We start from the raw sequence: 20,612 nt of genomic DNA on the forward strand, positions 1-20,612 counted from the left end.
AACAACAGTGTAAGTAATTTGGAAACATGATTTAGTATGCAAGTATTCACTTTACACTCCTGTCTTTTGGAATGCATTTGATGCACATATTTGTTCAAACTAAATAAGGCAAAGAATTTAAAGAGCTAGAAAGAGTCTTGGAGTTCATCTCTTGCTAACCTCTCATTTTATAGATGAAAAAACAGAAACCCAGATAGGTTCGATGCTTCTGTTGGGTGAGGGGAAAACCCACAGCTGTGAATCCTAATTTACAGTTTCTGCACACATTTCTTTAATGTGACTTTTTTGATGACTGCTTAACAGAGTGATGTCAGCTATGCTAAAGTCCTGACATGTCAGTGACAATACAAGGACCACACGATGAATTTGAGGATATCTGTATTTTTCTGGTACAGCTAGGTGGGCTCTTTTAAGACAGAAGTCTTAATCTGTGAGAGCCTCCCGAAATCTAGAGAAAGTTCTCAGCCAAGAAAAGGTCCCGGTGTGATTGATGGCTGTGCTGGCCGCACAGTTATAGTCAGTTACAGTCCTTGCTCCTTCAAACTATCAAGCAGTAAATTTGTAAATGAGCTGAGCGTTTGTTGTTATTAAAGCTTCATTTTACCATTCTCTCTGTGCAACAAGCACTTAACATTGTACTTGCTCAAGGGTTAAAAAAAAAAAAAAAAGCATCCCTAAATTATATATAGGTAGTCTTGGGCCTATAGGTAATCTCTTTGGGGCTTTTAAAAGAAATATACAAAGATTTTCCTACCTTTCTGTGTATTCTTACAAATAAATGTTAAGACTCATGGCCTGGGGAAGGAGGAGAAACTCATTAAGGGAGCAAATTGCAGGGAGATTCCTGAAGAATCAGTCTCTGAGCCAGTCCAGGCACTTTAATTTTGTCTGGCCCTGGCATTATTATTGTAACTGAGTAGAAGGCCATGAGATCATAGCCTCTCCATAGCTCCCGATAGCCATCAAAGGTGACTGGCTTCTATTACTTTTGAAGTGACAACCACATTTGAAGATGGTATAGACTGACCACTGATTGTCAAAACTAGTCCAAAATAAAACCATTCATCCATACTTACTTCTGCCACATAACTTGCAGATGCCCTGCAGCAAAAATAAATTAGCTCTAAATTTTCTGTTGAGCACAGTCTTCCGATGGGGCCTCTGTGTGAATGTTCTTCAGTCATTTTGCTGAGGGCTAAGAGATGAGGGTAAGACCCTTGGGCTATAGGAGTAGCTAAAAACTGAAATATTCCCAAGGAAAGATTCTACATTAGATTCATGGATAATTAAGGCAAAACACAAATCTCATTCATTCTGGACCTAAATAACCTTTTCCTGCTAGAGAACTTTTTTTAAAAAGTTGCAGTGTTTACTGTCTGAGGAAGGCTTATAAAGGTTATGCTTCTTGCATCCAGAATGTGCAGAAATTCTACAGCTATAAATGTCTCAGCAGCAAATGGGCTGTGTGGCATGCTACAGCCACAGCCTGCTAGGTAATTTACGTTGCTCAGGGACTGTAGTTTTTCAATAGATTGAACTGTTAGTTTTCAGGAGGATTTAATGAAATATTGAACCAGATGCCACTGGTCTGCCATAGATGTGGGACTATGAGAAATGAGGAAATGTCACTCTGTAAACAGCTTGGACCTCTGTGAGTAGGGGAAAAAATTGTGTCCTTAGTGAAAGAGAATCACAACCAAGAGAAAACATGGCAGTTTGGGGGTAAATGTGTTTGTTTCTATGTCCATGTCCTGTGTTCATTTAAAATGGGAGGCTGGGTCTAGGACGGAGATCCAGAAAAATTGTCTGAATCTGGAGAAAGCTAAATAGAGGCTGAGATTTTTCCGAGTCTTTCTTGTTGTCCAGTGGTAATCCTCTGAATGGCCCTATACAGATGCTCCTGGACTTTTGATAGGATTATGGTCCAGTCAACCCATCATAAGTAAGAAATGCAGTTATTGCACCTACCCTACCCAACTTCATAGGTTAGCCTAGCCTCCCTTAAATGTGCTCAGAACACTTAGGTTAGCCTAAGTGTTGGGGAAAATCATCTAACACAAAACCTATTTTATAATAAAGTGTGGAATATCTCATTTAACTTATTGAATACTGTGCCGAAAGTGAAAAACAGAATGGTTGTATGGATACTCGAAGTACAGTTTCTACTGAATGCGGATAGCTTTAGCACCATTGTAAAGTCGGAAAATCATAAGTCAGGGACCGTCTACAATTGCTTTTGCTGTATTCTCGTTTTCAGCAATATAAAGACATACCCGATACTGAGCAGTTTACAAAAGAAAGAGGTTTAATGGACTCACAGTTCTACGTGGCTGGGGAGGCCTCACAATTATGGCGGAAGGTGAGAAAGGTGGCAAAGATACAGATAAAGCACTGTTCCTGAATAACATTTCAAGTCTTGACCTTTTTTTTTTTTTTTTTTTATAACTTTACAGACTTACCTATTCCCTGCAACTCATTCAGGGTATAGATGATCTTGTTTTATGGTCTTGCTGCAATTCATAGCCTGTTAGTAGCTGTGTCTTCAATGTACTGGGAAATTTATCTTTGTACAGGAAGGCACTGTTTCAAGACCCAGAGCTGTGTTCCTCAATAGTCCAAGGAACCTGTCTCAGAATCATCCGGGTACTTACAACAGTGCATACTTCTTTGTCATACCCCAGGCATATTGAATCAGAATGCAGGATGGAGGAATCTATACAAGTTCCCCCAGTGATAGGGATCCTCACTGATGTTTAACAACCACTGCTCCAGAGGGGTGGGCCAGCTGCCGACATTTCTTGTGTCCTAATTGTGAGGAAGGTTCTTAACCATAGAATGTTAATGTAAACACAAGAAAAAAAAAAAAGAAAAAAAAAACTTCTGCTTAACCTCAGCCCATTTGAAGCAGAAAGAAAATTGCAGGGAAACCCAAATCTGTGGTCCTGATTCTGCTGTTGCTTTAAGATCATCTCACCAGCAAACACCATGGTTTGGTCTCGAAAGGGTCCCAGATGAACTAACTCACCTGGCACTGTAATTAATTGTACCAGAGTATGATGATGCATGAAACAATGTTCACTGTGTGTATGTATGTATATCTACTTACATATACACACAAACACATATGTTTTTCTTGTGCTTATTTAAGTTTTCATCTTTCTTAATAAGGAACTGTACTCAGTTCAGGGATTAGGAGTGGTAGAGAGACATATTGATTCATTCAAAGAATACTTGAGATGACTACTTACTCAAAGCCCTAAGCTAGGTGCCGAGTATTATAGTCTAAGTGGAACCATTAACCATGTACCTAGACAATTTTAGATTGAAAATGATAAAACACCATAGGATGTGTGGGTAAAGGCTTCACAAGCTCAGAGGGAAAACTGGCTTTCAGTTGGAAGAATTTGGCAAGAAGGTGGTGGCAATTATGTTGAAATTTTCAGATATAATGGTAATGATATATATGCTGTTGGAACAAGTATTAGCATATGAATGATTATTATTTTCACAATATTTCTTAACACTTGGTAAAACCAGCAGAGCATCTATTTTGCTGTGTTAGAATCGGGCCAGGGTCAGACAAATAATATGAGTCAATTTATAAAACAAATAAAAGATTAAATATGACTTTGGAAGTAAACTCGTAACTGCCCAGTGGGTTCTTGCTGCCTGCTGCACAGATAAAACCAATTCACTGAGACTGTGGCATTGCAATAAAGAAAGAGCACAATTGACACGAGGTCGGCTATGCCATGTAGGAGACAGAGTTATTATTCAAATCAATCTCTCCAAACATTTAGAGGCTGGGGTGTTTCAAGAATAGCTTGGCAGGCCAGAGAGTCTGCTTCTGGGTAGGGCCACAGGATCTGTTGGTGGGTCTGTGTGGGGCATGGGTTGCCAGCAATGCAAAAACTTCAAAAGACATCTCAAAAGGCCAATCTTAGGATGGATGTGGTGGCTCACCCCTGTAATCCCAGCACTCTGGGAGGCCGAGGTGGGTGGATCACTTGAGGTCAGGAGTTCAAGACCAGCCTGGCCAACATGGCAAAACCCCATCTCTATTAAAAATACAGAAGTTAGCCTGTGTGGTGGTGTCGCCCATAATCCCAGCTACTCTGGAAGCTGAGGCAGGAGAATCTCTTGACCTGGGAAGCAGAGGTTGCAGTGAGCTGAGATCACGCCACTGCACTCCAGTCTGAGCAACAGAGCGAGACTCTGTCTCAAAAAAAAAAAAAAGGCCAATCTTAGATTTTACAATAGTGGTGTTATCCACAGGAGTAAAGGGAAGTTGCAAATCTTGTCACCTCCAGAATAATGGCTGGTAACCATTTTCCTTTACACTTTAGCAGAATTCTGGCTCTTCATCCCCCTAACCTGGTGGTCTTTCATTAGCTTTACAAAGGTGGTTTAGTTTTGGGGAAGGGTTATTATCATTTAAACTATAAAAGAAATGTCTCCCAAAGTTAGCTTGGCCTAAGTCTAGGAATAATTAAGGACAGTTTACAGCTTAAAGGCAATATGGGGGTTGGTTAGCTAAGATCTCTTTCACTGTCATAGTTTCCTCACTGTTATAATTTTTGCAAAGGCAGTTTAAAACCAAAAGATCAGAGCAAAGACATATGGGTTTGAGGTTTTACAATGTAAGAATTGTAATATATTATAGTTGATTTGATGAAAGAATTATCAACCAAGCAGTATAAGCACAATACTGACCAAGTGTGGAGGATTATTGAGCTCAGAAATAGTCATGCAGTAAGAGGCGAGGGAAATCTATAGGGAAAGTGCAATTTGCTGTCTCTTATTAAAATAAAAATATGCCTTGCTACCTGAGTAAGAATGCACATACTTTTTTTAAAAAAAATCTTTGTCATATGACTGCCTATTACTGTTTGAATCATAACCTCCATTGCTGCTTTCATTCAAAAGAAGCCATTAAATTCACAGACTTCCTGCATGTGCCCAGTGTGTGAAAGCTTTAATTAAATCTACAAGTAGAGCCTTAAAAGAACAAGAATCAAATTAATTGCAACATGGTCCACGCATTTGTCTCTCTGACAGTCCCTGTGCTTTGGAGAAAAGGCAATCTGTGCACTCTTATCTGAATTAGTAAACTCAATATCACTTTCCATTAGCATGGCCAGTTGCTGCCATGTGTCTTCTGGCTGACACTGTTTACATGCTAATGCCCTCACAAATAGAGTCTGTTCCAACTGGTTTGCTATAGGATTCTGGAGCACTAAATCCAGGAGGTGGAATATGCTGTCTTCTGCTTTCTGCATCACTGGCTTTTGTGAGTTCTCTAGATTGAGCTTCGTAATTAGACTGCAGACTAATTAAGGAAAATTCACCACATGCAAATAGAGCAAAAGGATTTGCTGCTAATTATGGTTCTTATGCCATAGTCAAGACAAATTAATTTGTAATATTATTATTCAACTTTTTGGTGGCCTGCAATAGTGTAAAATAAGGAAGTGATGTTTGTGCTTAAGGAAGACTTCTACAACTGGAGTGAATAAATATTCACCCCATGAGGAAATTAGAGGTAAAATCTGTATATTTGAGGTTTTAGACAAAAAAGACTCCACAATTCCTATATAAGCTTCAGTGTATAATTACTTTGTTTTTATTTTTGTTTTATATCCAGAAGGTACTGTTTCTTAATATGTCAATGCTATAATATAATCACACCGGCAATCTAGAAATACCTACTTCCCAACTTTCAGCATTTAAATGGGAGTTTAATTCAACAGTGTATGATTTTCTTGTTTTTAAAGGCTTCACCTATGAATCCCTTAGGCCAAATGTTTAAAGCTAATGAACTGTAGCTCGTTATATTCTGCTTATATGAGGGAAATAGCCTGAAGCAGGGTGGCCTGGCTTAGTGTGCTGAGTCCAGTAGGCATCTTGAAGGTAATTTCGTTGGTTGCACATAGTTTAGAATTATAACAAGGATTTCTGCCTTGAAACATTACGTATTTTAGCGTGAGAATTGTCTCACCGGCAGAGAATTAGGTTTTCTTGCTGAAAATGTAAAGCAGATTTATTTATGAACTGTCTGCCCCATGCTGCTGTTTTCTGACTTGCTTCTCATTCCTTAGACGCTGAAGCCTAAAGAACAAGCATGTGCTCTTCTTATGACTAAAAAGTGGTTCAGAAAGCAGCATTTTAAGAGTTAAAGGCTTTGCATTGCTAACTGAGAGAAGCAGTATTCACAAAGTATTAAAAATTAAAGATTTAGTCCATCTAATGTCAAATTGGGAAATTTAAAAATTTATGAGCTTATATTGTTAATAGTTTCCTGAGGGAAAATTCATCCAGTATTTGGAGCGATTAATGAATTGCTTGTTGTATGGCAGTATAATAGAGAGAGAGAGAGAGAGAGAGAGTACAGTTAGACATAATATCGAAGTTATTTTTGGAAACAAGCTAACAAAGAAGGCTGTGTAATCTCTATCTACTGCAATCTCAAAAAATAGGCCGAATAGCCATCTATTGCCAGTGATTTCAGAGGGATGTGCCTGAAGGCAGGGAGTTGGATCTGGTGACTTCTTAAGTCCTTTCCACATCTCTCATTCCCTTAATTATTCATCAAATATAAACACAGACAATGTGATTTTCTTTATTCACAATGTCCCTGTGTGAAAAAATATATGTATACATATGTAGGATTCAGTACTCCTTTTATAGAACATTGCTGTCAACTATTAAGCTTAACCCAAAAGAAAGTTCTCTGTTAATAAGAGAACCAAAGTGCACATCATCCCCAACAGGATGGCAATTTATGATGTATTTTGATCGTCCACATGACTTGCAGGAGAGTCTGGAAGAAAGGTCATGGGAAGATTAACTGCAGGCGCACCCGGTTGGTACTGAAGCAGGATTTTGCTCTGATTAGCAAAGCACTGAAGGCCAGTCAGGGAAAAAGATCAAGGTCAGTGACCTTCCAGAAGGGAAGTCAACCTCGGCAATAATAAAGGCTGCCACTCTGTCAGGACTCCAGTCTCATGCAGAGTTGGTGACTAATATCCTTCACTCTAGCTTGAAAGCCCTGTTGACAGTTTAGTTCTAATTATTTGTGGATCAGATTGAGCAGAAATACATCTGCTTCTTTTCTATCTTGTCTTTTGACCCTCCTTTTTTCTGCCCTTTTAAAAAATGTGCACTGATTTCTCAATTATGTTTTTACTTTTTTCATATTTCTTCTGTCAACCCCATTTTCTCCTGCCTTTCTGAGGGGATGTGTTTTCTTATTACTTGTTCAAATACTGATGCCTTTTGGAAAAAGCTAAATGACTTAAGTATTTTTTAACCTTTATAAAAGTATGAGAAGCATATTCTTAGAATCACAGTGTACACTTTCTCAGCCAACCATTCAACCAATAAAGTAAGTAGTTTCTTTAGTAATTCTTTGCAGTTTCCACACCTCTTTGTTTATTCATTCAACACATTTTTTGAGAACCTACTGTTAAAATAAAAACTTTAGACAAATTAAATTTAGCAGAGTTTAATTGAGCAAAGAATGATTCACAAATCTGGCAGCCCTCAGAACCAGAAGAGGTTCACAGAGTTCCCCTTCACAATGCGAGACAGAAGGCAGGTACAGAAAGGCTGGGCTGGTTACAGCAGTGTTTCCCTTATTTGAAAGTGATCTGATTAGTTGGTTCCTGTGATTGACGGAAGCTCAGCTGCTGTGATTGGCTAAGGCTTGTTATACTTGTTACAAAAGTATACTCCTCTTAGCAGCAGCAAATCAGTAAGTGTTGGGAGCAACCTCAATTCTTGCCTCCTCAGAAGAAAGAATTCAACCCAGGGGCATAAGGCTGAGTGAGAGAATGAGGCAAGTTTTAGAGCAGGAATGAAAGTTTATTGAAAAGCTTTGGAGCAGGGAGGAAAGTAAATAGAGTACATTTGGAAAAGGGCCAAGTAGGCAACTTGAGAGGGTCAAGTGCACGGTTTGACCTTAGATCTGGGGTTGTACATATTGGCATGCTTCCAGGGTCTTGTGTCTCTTCTCCCCTGATTCTTCCCTTGGGATGAGCTGTTTGTATGCACAGTGGCCTACCAGCACTGGGGAGGGGCTGTATTCACAGTGTGTTTACTGGAGTTGTGCACATGCTCACTTAAGACATTTTTCCCTTAGCAGTTGAACAATTCTAGAAGGTCATATACCAGTTAAACTCTGCCACTTTGCCTCTTAGTGTGCATGCTTGAGCCCACTTGCCCCACTCCTGAGATCTTATTGGGAAGCTGCTGATCACCAGTTTCAGATGTTGGGTGCATGGAGTTGCTAGCCGATTCTAGTATGTGCCTAGAATTAGAATATTAATCCAAATTTTTACATTACCCACCCTCTCGTTTCTTCTGAGCTATAGCCAGAGATCATTGGTTTGTTCACAGGAATAAGCAAGGTTAGTCTAAATTGCAGACAAAAACTCAAAAAGAACTGATGAGACTAGAATCTTTTAACAGGTTTGCCGTCATTCTTGAAACACAATTTTTCTCCCTCCAATCTCCATTTTCATTAAAAACAAATCATGATAGGACTGATTTGTTTGCAAAATAAGCTTTAGTCTTGTTATACTTGGCCTGATTATTTGCATAAATCACAGCAAGAATAATTATTTGCCACATAGGCTCCTTTTAAAATTGGCTTTGATGGGCTGGGCACGGTGGCTCATGCCTGTAGTCTCAGCACTTTGGGAGGCCGAGGCAGGTGGATGAACTGAGGTCAGGAGTTTGAGACCAGCCTGGCCAACATGGTGAAACCTCGTCTCTACTAAAAATACAAAAAAAACTAGCTGGGCATGGTGGTATGTGCCTGTAATCCCAGCTACTCGGGAAGCTAAGACAGGAGAATCACTAGAACCTGGGAGGTGGAGGTTGCAGTGAGCCAAGATCGCATCACTGCCCTCCAGCCTGGGCAACAGATCAAGACTCCGTCTCAAAAATAATAATAATAATAAAATAAAAAATAAATTTGGCTTTGATGGAACTTTGTTCCATTAGGATCTCAGATAAAATGTTTTAAAGCCATAAGCCTAGCTGTGGGTTTGTACCATCAAATACCTGTATGAGTTGGGTACATTCCTCACCTCTTAAGGTCCCAAGATAACTTGGTGCTCCTAGGCCTGTGAGAAAGTGATATTCTTTACTTACCACAGGTCAGGAACACTGTACAGGGACTGCATACAGAAGGTATGAGGCCAGCTTTCCCAAGGGACTTTTATTATCTCTATAAGTCAGATTTGATTCCTTAAAGGAAAGCATGCCATTCCATTCAAAGCCTTGGTAAAACAACCAGTTTCTCCAATTGTGTCCTGCTGCGAAAGAAGTCAGATTATTACTGCACTTATGCAAATAATGTAAGTTAACTTTTTCTTGCCACAAGTTAAGAATACACAAAAATAGTTTCCAAATTCTGGAGAAATCAGGTACAGAGAAACAAATATGCTCCAAATTTTGTTTGTAGGAATATACTTTACTCAATTGTTAAAAGCTCTAAATGGAAGGATTATTTCAGTCTTCTATTAGTTCAGTCCATACATTTAACTCCTGTTCTACTTGATATTCATGACACACCATTCTTGGACTTTCTGACTTGTCCTAAATATCCCTCTTTTTTTTTTTTCTTTTCTTTTTTTTTTTTAGATGGCGCCTTGCTCTGTCACCAGACTGGAGTGTAGTGGTGCAATCTCAGCTCACTGCAACCTCCGCCTCCCAGGTTCAAGCAATTCTCCTGCCTCAGTCTCCCAGGTAGCTGGGACTACAGGCATGAGCCACCACACCCAGCTAATTTTTGTAATTTTAGTAGAGAACGGGTTTCACCATGTTGGCCAGGATGGTCTTGATCTCTTGACCTCGTGATCTTCCCGCCTCAGCTTCCTAAAGTGCTGGGATTACAGGCATGAGCCACTGTGCCCGGCCTAAATATCCCTCTTTTTAAACAACCAGTCATTTTACTTTAGGACAACAATTTACCATACAAGATCCTTTCTCATATAAAATCTATTTTCTTTATAACCTTCCTTACCAAAAATACCTCTTTACCTTTATAACCTTTGAATTAGACAACAGTCATTTTCCTTCTATTAGGAAGTGATGGTTTGTACTACATGTTGCTGTGTGAGTCCTGTGTAGGGAAAGCAAATGTGGAGGTTATCTACGTACTGTGACTGCTAATGTGAGCCACCCGTTGGGGTGACCTGAAAAATCAGCTTGGAAGAGCAGAACCACAGTGGCCAAGAGGAATTGTTCTAGGGGTTGATTAGTAAGCAGGAGAGTGAAAGGGAGGGGAAAAAAAACATGTATGGAGGTTGAACACCTGCAGCCAAAGAAGGCAAGGTGTAGAGGTGTCTTACCACTGGGGAATGTATCAGAGTCATGTGGCATCAAAGTATATTACCACTAGAGAATATATCCAAGTCATGCAGCACCAAAGTTTGTTAGAAGTAGCAAATCTGTAAGGATCTGCAGCAACCTCAGTTCTTGCCTCCTCAGAAGAAAGAATTTGACCAAGGAGCATAAGACAGAGGGAGTGACTGTGGCAACTTTTAGAGCACCAGTGAAAGTTTATTAAAAAGCTTTAGAGCAGAAACAAAAGGAAATAGAGTACACTTGGAAAAGGGTCAAGCGGGCAACTTGAGAGAGTCAAGTGCATGTTTTGACCTTTGACTTGGGGTTTTATACATTGGCATGCTTCCAGGTCTTGCATTACTTCTCCCTGATTCTTCCCTTGGGGTGGGCTGTTCGAATGCGCAGTGGCCTGCCGGCACTTGGGAGGGGCTGCATGTACACTGTGTTTATGGGAGTTGTATGCATGCTCACCTGAGCTTTCTTCCCTTACCGGTTCATTATTCCTAGAGGAAGGTCATATACCAGTTAAACTCCACCATTTTGCCTCTTAGTGCACATGCTTGAGCCCACTTGCCCAAATCCTGAGATCTTATTAGGAAGCTGCTGATCACCAGTTTCAGGTTTTTTCTGTCTACTGGGAGACTGCCATTCCCATGTGCCACCTATGACCAATTATTATTTTAGTGAGACATTTAACTACTTCCTGACCATCACCTGATGGTCGACTGATGTTCTTAGTTTGATGGCGGGTGGGGGGGCCCTCTCCTGCCCTACTTGTGTCTGACTAGCTACCTACTGTGACACTCCTGAGTTAGGCTTTCAGTTAATTTACTGCTAAGTTCAGTTGCAGTTGGTTAGGAAAGGACTCAAGTATGGAGGCATACTCAAGCCAAATTTAGTTTAGTTAACTACATGTCCGACACTGTTCTAGACATTGCAGATATAGCCATGAACAAAACAAACAGAAATCTTTGCCCTTCTGGAGATTTGAAAGCTATGTCAGATGTTTTACTCTGAGCGATCATCAAGGAGGAAAAAGTGAGAATTGAGAGTGATTCCATCTTTCTCCAAGTGTACCCCGTCTTTTTTATTTTGGGTAATGTTGGTTAAATTAACACAGTCTGCTAAAACCAGGCCATAGAAAGCGTGGCAATTGCTGGAGGCAACTTCTGAGGAGCCCACTTTGGTGGGCAGAGTGGCTTCTGCTGAGCCTATCACAGAGGGCGGCGACCTCTGCGGATCACGCACATCAGAGCCTCACTGGAAGCCTGTGTTCCTCTGGAAGTAGACGAGCTATCCATCCTGAGACTGAGGGGCGAAAAAGGAAATGAGCCTGAACCAGACTCCACGGACCAAACAAATGACCAAGTGCCAGAAAGCCTTCTGTCTTGGGCAACTGTACTTCTGCCGGAGTTAATAGCATTTTCTGCTGCTTGTGCATCTTAGAAGAGTAAAATCGTTTTGTGAACTATTTCCACCCATGACTTCTCATGACACTCAGTTGAATCAGACAAGCTGAGGGTCTCTGAGGGAAGATGAATCCGCATCAGGCTTTCCCCAGCTTAACAGTTCAGAACCCACTTTTCCTTCATCGGTGCTGGCAGTGTTGCAAAGATAATTCTCAGCTCTTGAGCCCTTTAAAATATTTAGCTTTTTAATACGTGAAAAAAAAAAATACCTTAAAAAAGAAAAAGTGGAACTCAAAGGAAACCCCTTCTTTTAAATATAATGGTTCAATTTTAAGATGAAGATGAGTAGCATTTGTTGGGGGTCTTTAATTACGCTGGTCTGTGGCTTACCTTAGGAGCTAGCTGCCTTTGATGCTTTCAGTTCTTATTCTAATTTAACTATTTTTTTCCTATGCCATTATTGTACCATGAAAGGAAACTCCCTCATAAACCCATCATATTGTTCACTGTAGAGAAGCAGCGTGTGAATATGTTTATAGTTGCTGAATATATTCAAAAATGTCTTTTTTATATGATTATGGTCCTGAATGTTTATTTTTATTTATTTTATTTTATTTTTTACTTTAGCTTCAGAGGGTACGTGTGCAGGTTTGTTACTTGGGTATATTGCATGATGCTGAGGTTTGGGCTTCTAGTAATCCCATCATCCAAGTGGCAAACATAGTATCCAATAGGTAGTTTTCCAGCCCTTGCTCCACACCCTCCCTCCTCAAGACTCTCGTATATCTCATGTATTTTGAAATAATGGAGACATTACGCAAGCTAAACTTGAGTTCATTTTAAATATTTTAAGCTAAAGTGACCTGTCATGAATGTCACACTAGTGATAGTACCCTTTTCTCTTGCACTTATTTGTTGCTAAGCTGACTTCCAAATCGGAATTACCTAAAGGACTTTTCAGATATATAGATGTCTAGCCCACACTTTGAATTGCCCAAATAGAGAATAAACAGGAATCTTTATTTTTAGAAAGCATCATAGTTCCTACTTGGGGACCACTATTGCACTCTACTCAAAAATACATACTGCAGCTGTAAAATCACTATGATTAAATTATAACTTTGATCGCTTTCTTGTCTTTGGAAAACTAATACATGTTTATTATAAAATCTTGACTCATAGCAGAAAAGTGCCAAGAAAAAAGTAAAATAATCTATCATCTTTCCCTGCCCCCAAGTGCTGTGACTGCTCTGATGACCCTCTTTTCGTATAGCACTGTGAGTGTGCACGGGTATGCATCTGTCAGTCTGTCTCCCTGTTGGAGGGAGAACAGTGCTCTATGTGCGTTTCATAGCCCATTGTTTTTCGCGCAGTGTGTCACAAATCTTGCCACACCAAGAGTTGTATTTAACGATGTACTGTTAATAATCCCCCCAGACTCAGCTACAGTTAAGGTTGTAGTCACACAGCACTTATAATTAGATAAGTTTACTTTTGTTTCAAAACTTTCTTTGTTTTCATTGTAAGTCATGGACTTCCTCGTTTCCAAAACCTAAACAAAATAAACCATAGCTTCTAAATGGATTTAGACATTAAAAGCCTTCTCAAGTATGTCACTTTTTTTTCTTGATTAAAAATATTTAACTCTTACAAGTTATTTAAATATGGCTAAATTCTGTTATGGCTAAAATCCTAATTTTTTATTTTATTTCCAAAGATTTGATGCTGTGACTTTCTTATCAGAATCACCATTGTTGCTCATAATATAATCAATCGGGAGAGACAAAAAAGAGGCAGGAAAGCGGTGAACTTGTGATGCGATGACATAAAGGAAGAGAAGCTAATGCTGTGTTGTTTGTCCTGCAATATCTGCTTCATTTTGCTTTCAGCAGAGGTTTCCTGGCTGCTTTTTCCTCCTTTCTTTGCCCTTCTCCTCCTTCGTTCATTCTCCAGGAGCCTCGTACGGAATCTCATTCATCCTCAGCAGGAATATATGTATTGAGTCACATTCCAGGCACCGTGTTAACCAATGGGAGGAATAAAATAGTTAACCAATGGGAGGAATAAAATAAAGTAGGAGGAATAAAATGGAATAATCAATGGGAGGAATGAAATAGTCAAAGTTGCCACCCTCATGAAGCTGTCAGTTTTGGGGAGACTAAAAATAAACAGGTAGACAAAGGGTATTATGTGGTGTTTACATCCTCAACCTCAGAGGTGATTTGTCCCAAGTCTAGGTGGAACCGGCCTGCCACTTGGGCCCCAGGCTGTCTCCAGCTCAGGAAATCTGACATGGGGCACAGGTGGCCAATTCTGGCCCATGAGTAGAAGTCCACTCTGGGTCTGTGAAGGATGACTTAGACTTCTGTGTTCTATCCCTGTCTTTATGCTGATCTCCCAAGATACTGGAATGACCAGGCAACCACTTTGAACTTGAATTTCCCTGTACTGCATCCTCTTCCTCATCCCAAAGTTCCTGCCCAGGTCCACACCCACACTGCCACCCTAACCAGAAGATCTTCTGTCCCACCTGCTCCCTCCGTTTCTTTGCACAGACACAGTATTCAAGCAGGCAAGTTCATGGCCTGCCCTGCTGAAGTGGACAATCTTTGGTCTTGAGCTCCAGCATTTTGCCATTCTGGAGCACGAATAAATCTGTTTCAAGTTTATTTCATCTTCTCTGTTTCACTGATTGGTTTGATGTGTTTTATCCTGCTGCAACTATGTAAAAGGAAAGGGATGTGCTGTTTTTGAAAGTCAGAGGGTAAAGTCCCACTGACTTTAATGATAAGTCCATTAAAAAGATCTGTCCTGAGAGTCTTGGATACCCTGTCCTCTGTGCCTTCAGAGGAGACGAGTGAGATGAGTGAGGTTGCACAGACCCCACTGGACTGTTGGGTGGAGAAGAGAAGGGGAGCCTCGGCCCGAGCCCATATCATAGGCTGAAACATAGATGTAATGCTAAGAACAAGTGACGAAGGTTTAATGACTTATTTTACTTTAATATATACCAAGAAGCTAAGGAAGACAATTTGCCCTAATCTATAACACTGGCCTAAAGCTGAACAAATGCCTATGCTGAACAAATATCATTTTTAGGAAAAAGTTATATGAGGATTTGCCCTATGTATTTAGGATTTATTTTTGATGTTTAACCTTTTTTAGATTTTTTTCAGTTCTTAAATTTTTAAAAGTTGTCACCTACCACATGAGTGTTAGTAAAGAGTGCTGAGTGAGAGCGTCCCTTTGTCCTAGTCCTCTGGTCCTAGGTCCAGGCTAGCCTCACAGATAGCAGTTGCCCAGGTAAGACACCTGAAAGGGTCTTGCCACGGGCCTTGAATTCTAATGCAGACTTTCAAAGGATACCACTTTCTTTCACCAAGTATAATCTAACTATCTTGTTGGTTTTCTTTTTTTAAGAGTAATAAGTTAGTTGCTGTAGTTTTGAGATATATTAACAGCAAATGTACTTTGCCAATGAGTAGACAATGGTATATTTTACATGCAAAGATAGAATTAAACCCACTAATTTCATCTGATTACTAATTGTTAAAAAAAATAAAAAAAAAAGATAGTTTCTATCCTTCTATCCATGCCAAATACTTTCAAAATTTGTACATGACCATCCAGACATCCATCTCTCCTGTAGGGCTCAGCTCTCTGTCCTCTAGGGTAAGGCTGGCTGGGTATTCTTGCACCCTGTGCTGTGCAGGCCACACTTCACCAGGCCCCCCAGGAGCCCCACCAGGAGGCACCGCATGATCTCCATATTCTACACGCGTAAACTGAGACACAGAAGCTGATCACCTTGCTCGGGGTCCTGTGACTAGTAGGAGTGGGGCTGGGGTCGCGAGCCAGGCAGTGTGGTGTTTGGGCCTCTGCCCTGACCAGCCTGCCTCCTGGTAGTTGTCTCCCTATTCAGGTTTGTCACTAGACATTACCGTCTGGCACAGGGCCTGGCAGGTCAGTGGCCTCAGGTGGCTCTGGGTCTGTGGCCACCGTACAGAGCGATTTGAACTGTTCATCTCTATGACCCGTCTTTGTGTGTCTTGTTAATAGATGTTTCCCAGGGAGTATATGAGTTGCATAAAAACATATGTTCCTTTTGTGAAAAGTTTCTCTAGGCAGGCATATGGAATAGAGTGTGAAAATCATGTGACCACTGGAGGCCTAGTGCCTTCACCTGAAGAGGCAAAATTCCTGGGTAACAAGAATCTACAGAGGAAAAACAAAATAAAATACATAGGTACTATGTTAACGTATAAATGAAATGTGTCTCCCAATGTTGCCCCTTACCTCCTCCATACACAGTCCTGTTCCCCAGGGGGAAATCTGGTTTCTAAATCTGGAAAAGGAAGTATATTTACTTCTATTTGTTATTTGTTGGACATTTTGTGAAGAGATAGGAAAGAAATATTATGCAGAATATCTCATTTGTAAAAAGAGAGATACACAGAAGGTTTTTAAGAATAAAAAGTATTGGAGGCTGAGGCAGGCAGATCACGAGGTCAAGAGATCAAGACCATCCTGGCCAACATGGTGAAACCCCGTCTCTAATAAAAATACAAAAACTAGCTGGGCGTGGTGGCGGGCACCTGTAGTCCCAGCTACTAGGGAGCCTGAGGCAGGAGAATCACTAGAACCTGGAAGGCGAAGGTTGCAGTGAGCGGAGATCGTGCCACTGCACTCCAGCCTGGGCAACAGAGCGATACTCCATCTCAAAAAAAAAAAAAAAAAAAAGAATGAAAAGTATTTTGTTTCTTTGTAAGCTGAATCACCCCATCTTGATGGTCTGTGACTTTTTATTTAGCTTAATATGTATGAGGGCTCTTTCCATGTTAACCAGGATATATTGATCTACCTCAACTTTAGCTGTAGCTTCGTATTTTAACATTCCTTTTTTGACAGAAATGTGGGCAACTGCCAGGATTTTCTTCTGCTTTGTTTCTGCTTTCAGAGCAACAGTTGCCCTGCACTCTTGTGCATGGCCCTCAAAGCTGTTCTTTCTTGCCAGCTCTCACCTCATTTTCCACATAGCACTAAGATTTGAACCAAGGCTGAGAGACTCCACCATGTCTGTCCAGCCACTGTGTTGCACTCATGTGTCAGGCACAGCGCAAGGTGACATGGGGGAAACTGAGGCAGAGGCATTCCTGCCCTTCTAGGCCTTACATTTGAGGTTCAAAGACATCTAGATACTAATAAAATAATCACAAATTTAAATGTACAAATGCACTGTGACACAGGTAACAGAGGAGTGACGTGCATGGTTCTGTCTGCAAGCTCATAATAGAGAGATTGACTTAGAGTGGGCAAGGAGGGCCTCCCTTGGGAAGATTTTTTTTTTTTTTTTGAGACAGAGTCTCGCTCTGTTGTGCAGGCTGGAGTGCAGTGGCTTGATCTTGGCGCACTGCAACCTCCACCTCCCAGATACAGCAATTCTCGTCTGTCAGCCTCCCGAGTAGTTGGGATTACAGGCGCATGCCACCACGCTGGGCAAATTTTTGTATTTTTAGCAGAGAAGGGTTTTCACCATGTTGGCCAGGCAGGTCTCGAACTCCTGGCTGCAAGTGACCCACCCTCCTCGGCCTTTCAAAGTCCTAGGATTACAGGTGTGAGCCACCATGCCCAACCAAAGGATTTGTGTGATAGCTACAAGCGAAAAGGAGTTAATGAGATGAACTGGGAGGTGGAGCATTCTGTGCTGTGGAAGCAACATCTGTCTTGGGTCTGTGGTGGGAGGGAATATGGTGCATCTAGGGGCTGGAGAAAGGCCAGCAAGAGAGCAGCCACTGGTAGAGCGGGCAAAGCCTGGTGGGCAAGGCGGTGGCAGACGTGGGCTGGGCCTGAACTGCCTGGTGCCTTTAGGTCAGGTGGAAGAGTTTCCATGCCATCTTAAGTAGCGTAGAAACCTCTATTGTGTTTTAAGTAAGGGCATGATGTGATCAAATTTGTGTTCAAAGTGCTCTCTGGTAACAGTGTGGACAGCACGGAGGCCAGTATGGCTTCAGAGAGATCAGCAGAAAAACGTTAGCAAGAGTAGGTGAGAGCCTAGACTAAGTTGGCAACAGAAGAGATGGAGATTTAAGAGGTGAAGTTAACGGGACTTGGATAGAGCCAGCTGTACAGGAGGAATAGCAGTGACGGCAACCATGGGGTCTGGAACCTTGGCCCACCATAGAGTGTACAGGCTTTGAGTTGGTTTCATGAGATTACCACATGTTTTTTAGGAATTGCTTTAACCTTGAAGAGCAGTTCCACTGGGCACATCAAATAATACATCTTGCTCATTCCATTCGCCTTTTGGAGATTGGTATGCAGATGGCAACTGCAAATGCTTATATTAAACATCGTATTTTTTTCTGTTTCTTTCCAGTCATTCTTAAAAGCATACAAGCTTCTCATTCCATGAGCTAAAAACATATTTCATTCCATAAACAGAAGAAACTATGTCAGAAATTGTAGGCTCCTAAATCTCACAAATGAGGTAAACATACATTAATTGTTTCTCAGATATTTATGGAGAGGCAGAAAGGAAATGTTCAGTAGTATCTCACTTTTAAAAGGTAAAACAAAACAAAAATCCAGAAGCACATAGTTCAGCGTAAAGCTAATCACAGTTGTGCATAAAATTTGAATACCATGTAGTCAGAGGAAAGGCTCCTCCCATACTGTGGACAAAGGATGTACACAGCTGAAACCTTTAGTCCTTCCCTGTGGCAGCAGCCAACATTTTGCTGCATTCTGCAGTACTGAACCAACTCATCATTTTGAAGCAAGCTCCCTGGGAAATATGTAAGTGAATAATGCTGCTCTGTGATGAATCACGGACTGAACACTTCCTGTATGTAACAGGTGGTGCGTTACCATGATGTCCGAGAAAATGTCCAGCTGAAATACTAGCCCCACACCGTGACGAAACGCACATAGAGCTCAGGCTCAGACCTATTGCCTGTGCCCAGCCCTGGAAAGACAGTGACCAAGTAATGCCCTGGTCATTTAAATTTGCTAAGCAGCAAATGACTTATTGGTGAAGACCATCAAGTTGATGGTTTTATTGTAAAATTTTTGTTAGTTTCACTGTAACTAGATTAAAGAGCAAAATATAATTTTCTTAAAATGAGGGGCTGTGCTTCAGAAGAACCTAAAGAGGCTTTTGTGTGTGTGTTGGGGGTGGGGGAGTTATGTTTAATACAGAGATCCAGACTCCACCCCAGACCTAAGACCTACCTGACATCACCAGAGATGATGTAAAAGCATGTTATTTGAAATTTTATGGCATAAATATAAGTCATAAGCCACTGGATTATTAAGATAACAGTGGCCACATTCAACCAGTTTTTCAGAAAATACTTTTCCAAAGATGGCTGAGTATAAATTATTTTTGTATGTTTTTCATTCATAGATCTCAGGGTTGAGGCTGGGCGTGGTGGCTCACACCTGTAATCCTAGCACTTTGGGAGGCCGTGGCAGGAGGATCACCTGAGCCCAGAATTCATAGCCTGGGCAATATGACAAGACCCCATCTCTACAAAAAATAAATTAGCCAGGCATGGTGGTGTGCACCTGTGGTCCCAGCTACTCAGGAGGCTGAGGCAGGATCACTTAAGTCTGAGGCTGAGGCTTCAGTGAGCCATGCTGGCACCACTGTACTCCAATCTGGGTAAGAGCAAGACTCGTCTCAAAAAAAAAAAAAAAAGGTCTCAGGGTTGAAAGGTAAATGAAGAAAACATCCCCTGTTTTTGGAGAGATCAGCTCACGGGGGGTTCTGCTACTTCTGAGTGGTAAGGGGAAGGGCATACTGATGTCCTTCTCTGTCCACTCTGCATCTCCATGGACAGGTGCTTTGTCACCCTGTTCCACCTTATAAAAGCAAAAATGTTCCCACTGAGAATTAAGCCTATTTTGTTTTATCCTCAGCCCAAAGCGAAATAAAGCCATAGAAAGTTTTTGGGATGATTTATCAATGCCTGAATTGGCATCCTTCAGAGCTGATATGTGGGCTCTTTATTCGTTTATTCCCTGGGGGTGGAGTATAGGGGAAGGTGGCTTACCTGAGTGAGGAGCCTGGGGTTGGCACTGCCCACAGGTCTCCCTCCTCAGCTGGCCTGGCATATCCAGGGAAGACTTCCATCTGGAATACCTGAGTGACTGCTGGGTTACCCATCACTGGAGACTTTAAAGAGCCCTCTTTTAAAATCCAACAAGATAGTGTTCGTCAGTTTATTTTATTGACGTATAATTTGTTTGCATTTAAAATTCTTAGAAATACATCAGTCTTTCTCTGCAGTCACTTTTTTACTTTACTTACTTAAAAATTAAAATAATGCTATATGTTAAACATATATTCAATACCAACTCTCTAAGACCGAGTTATCTTTTTTACTTGTAGAGTACTTTTTAAATTGTTTAAATGACTTATAACAACTATATATATTTATGGTGTACAATATAATGTTTTGATATATGTATGCATTGTGAAACTGCTCAATCAAGCTAATTATGCTTATTTTTTGTGGTGAGAACACTTAAAATCTACCCTCAGCAATTTTCAAATGTACAATGTAGTGTTATTAACTAAAGTCACCATGATGTACAGTAAATCTCTTGAAATTATTCTTCTTGTCTAACTGAAATTTTGTGTCCTTTGACCAACATCATTCCAGCCTCCCTCCCCACACAGCCTCTGGTAACCACCTATCTTCTCCCTGCTTCTATGAGCTTGAGTTTTTACACATTCCACATATATGTGAGGTCATGAGGCATTTGTCTTTCTGTGCCTGTCTTCACTTAGCGTGATGTCCTCTAAGTTCACCCATATTGTCACAAATGACAGAATTTCCTTTAATT

General features: G+C 40.9%; 1 protein-coding gene across 32 annotated transcripts in view, besides 1 other annotated feature; it reads left to right on the forward strand.

Annotated features, from left to right (window-relative positions):
• The window catches only part of PTPRM (protein tyrosine phosphatase receptor type M), an 839,541-nt gene that overhangs the window by 602,528 nt on the left and 216,401 nt on the right, over positions 1 to 20,612 (forward strand). The window lies entirely within an intron of this gene.
• Positions 17,630 to 18,131: an enhancer, noted in NCBI's record as "NANOG hESC enhancer chr18:8187471-8187972 (GRCh37/hg19 assembly coordinates)". NCBI's record gives its function as "activates a minimal SCP1, AML or CMV promoter by ChIP-STARR-seq in primed H9 embryonic stem cells {active_cell/tissue: H9 hESC(primed)}" and the evidence as "EXISTENCE:reporter gene assay evidence [ECO:0000049][PMID:30033119]".

The sequence above is a fragment of the Homo sapiens genome, chromosome 18, assembly GCF_000001405.40.
Source record: "Homo sapiens chromosome 18, GRCh38.p14 Primary Assembly".
NCBI classification, from domain to species: domain Eukaryota; kingdom Metazoa; phylum Chordata; class Mammalia; order Primates; family Hominidae; genus Homo; species Homo sapiens.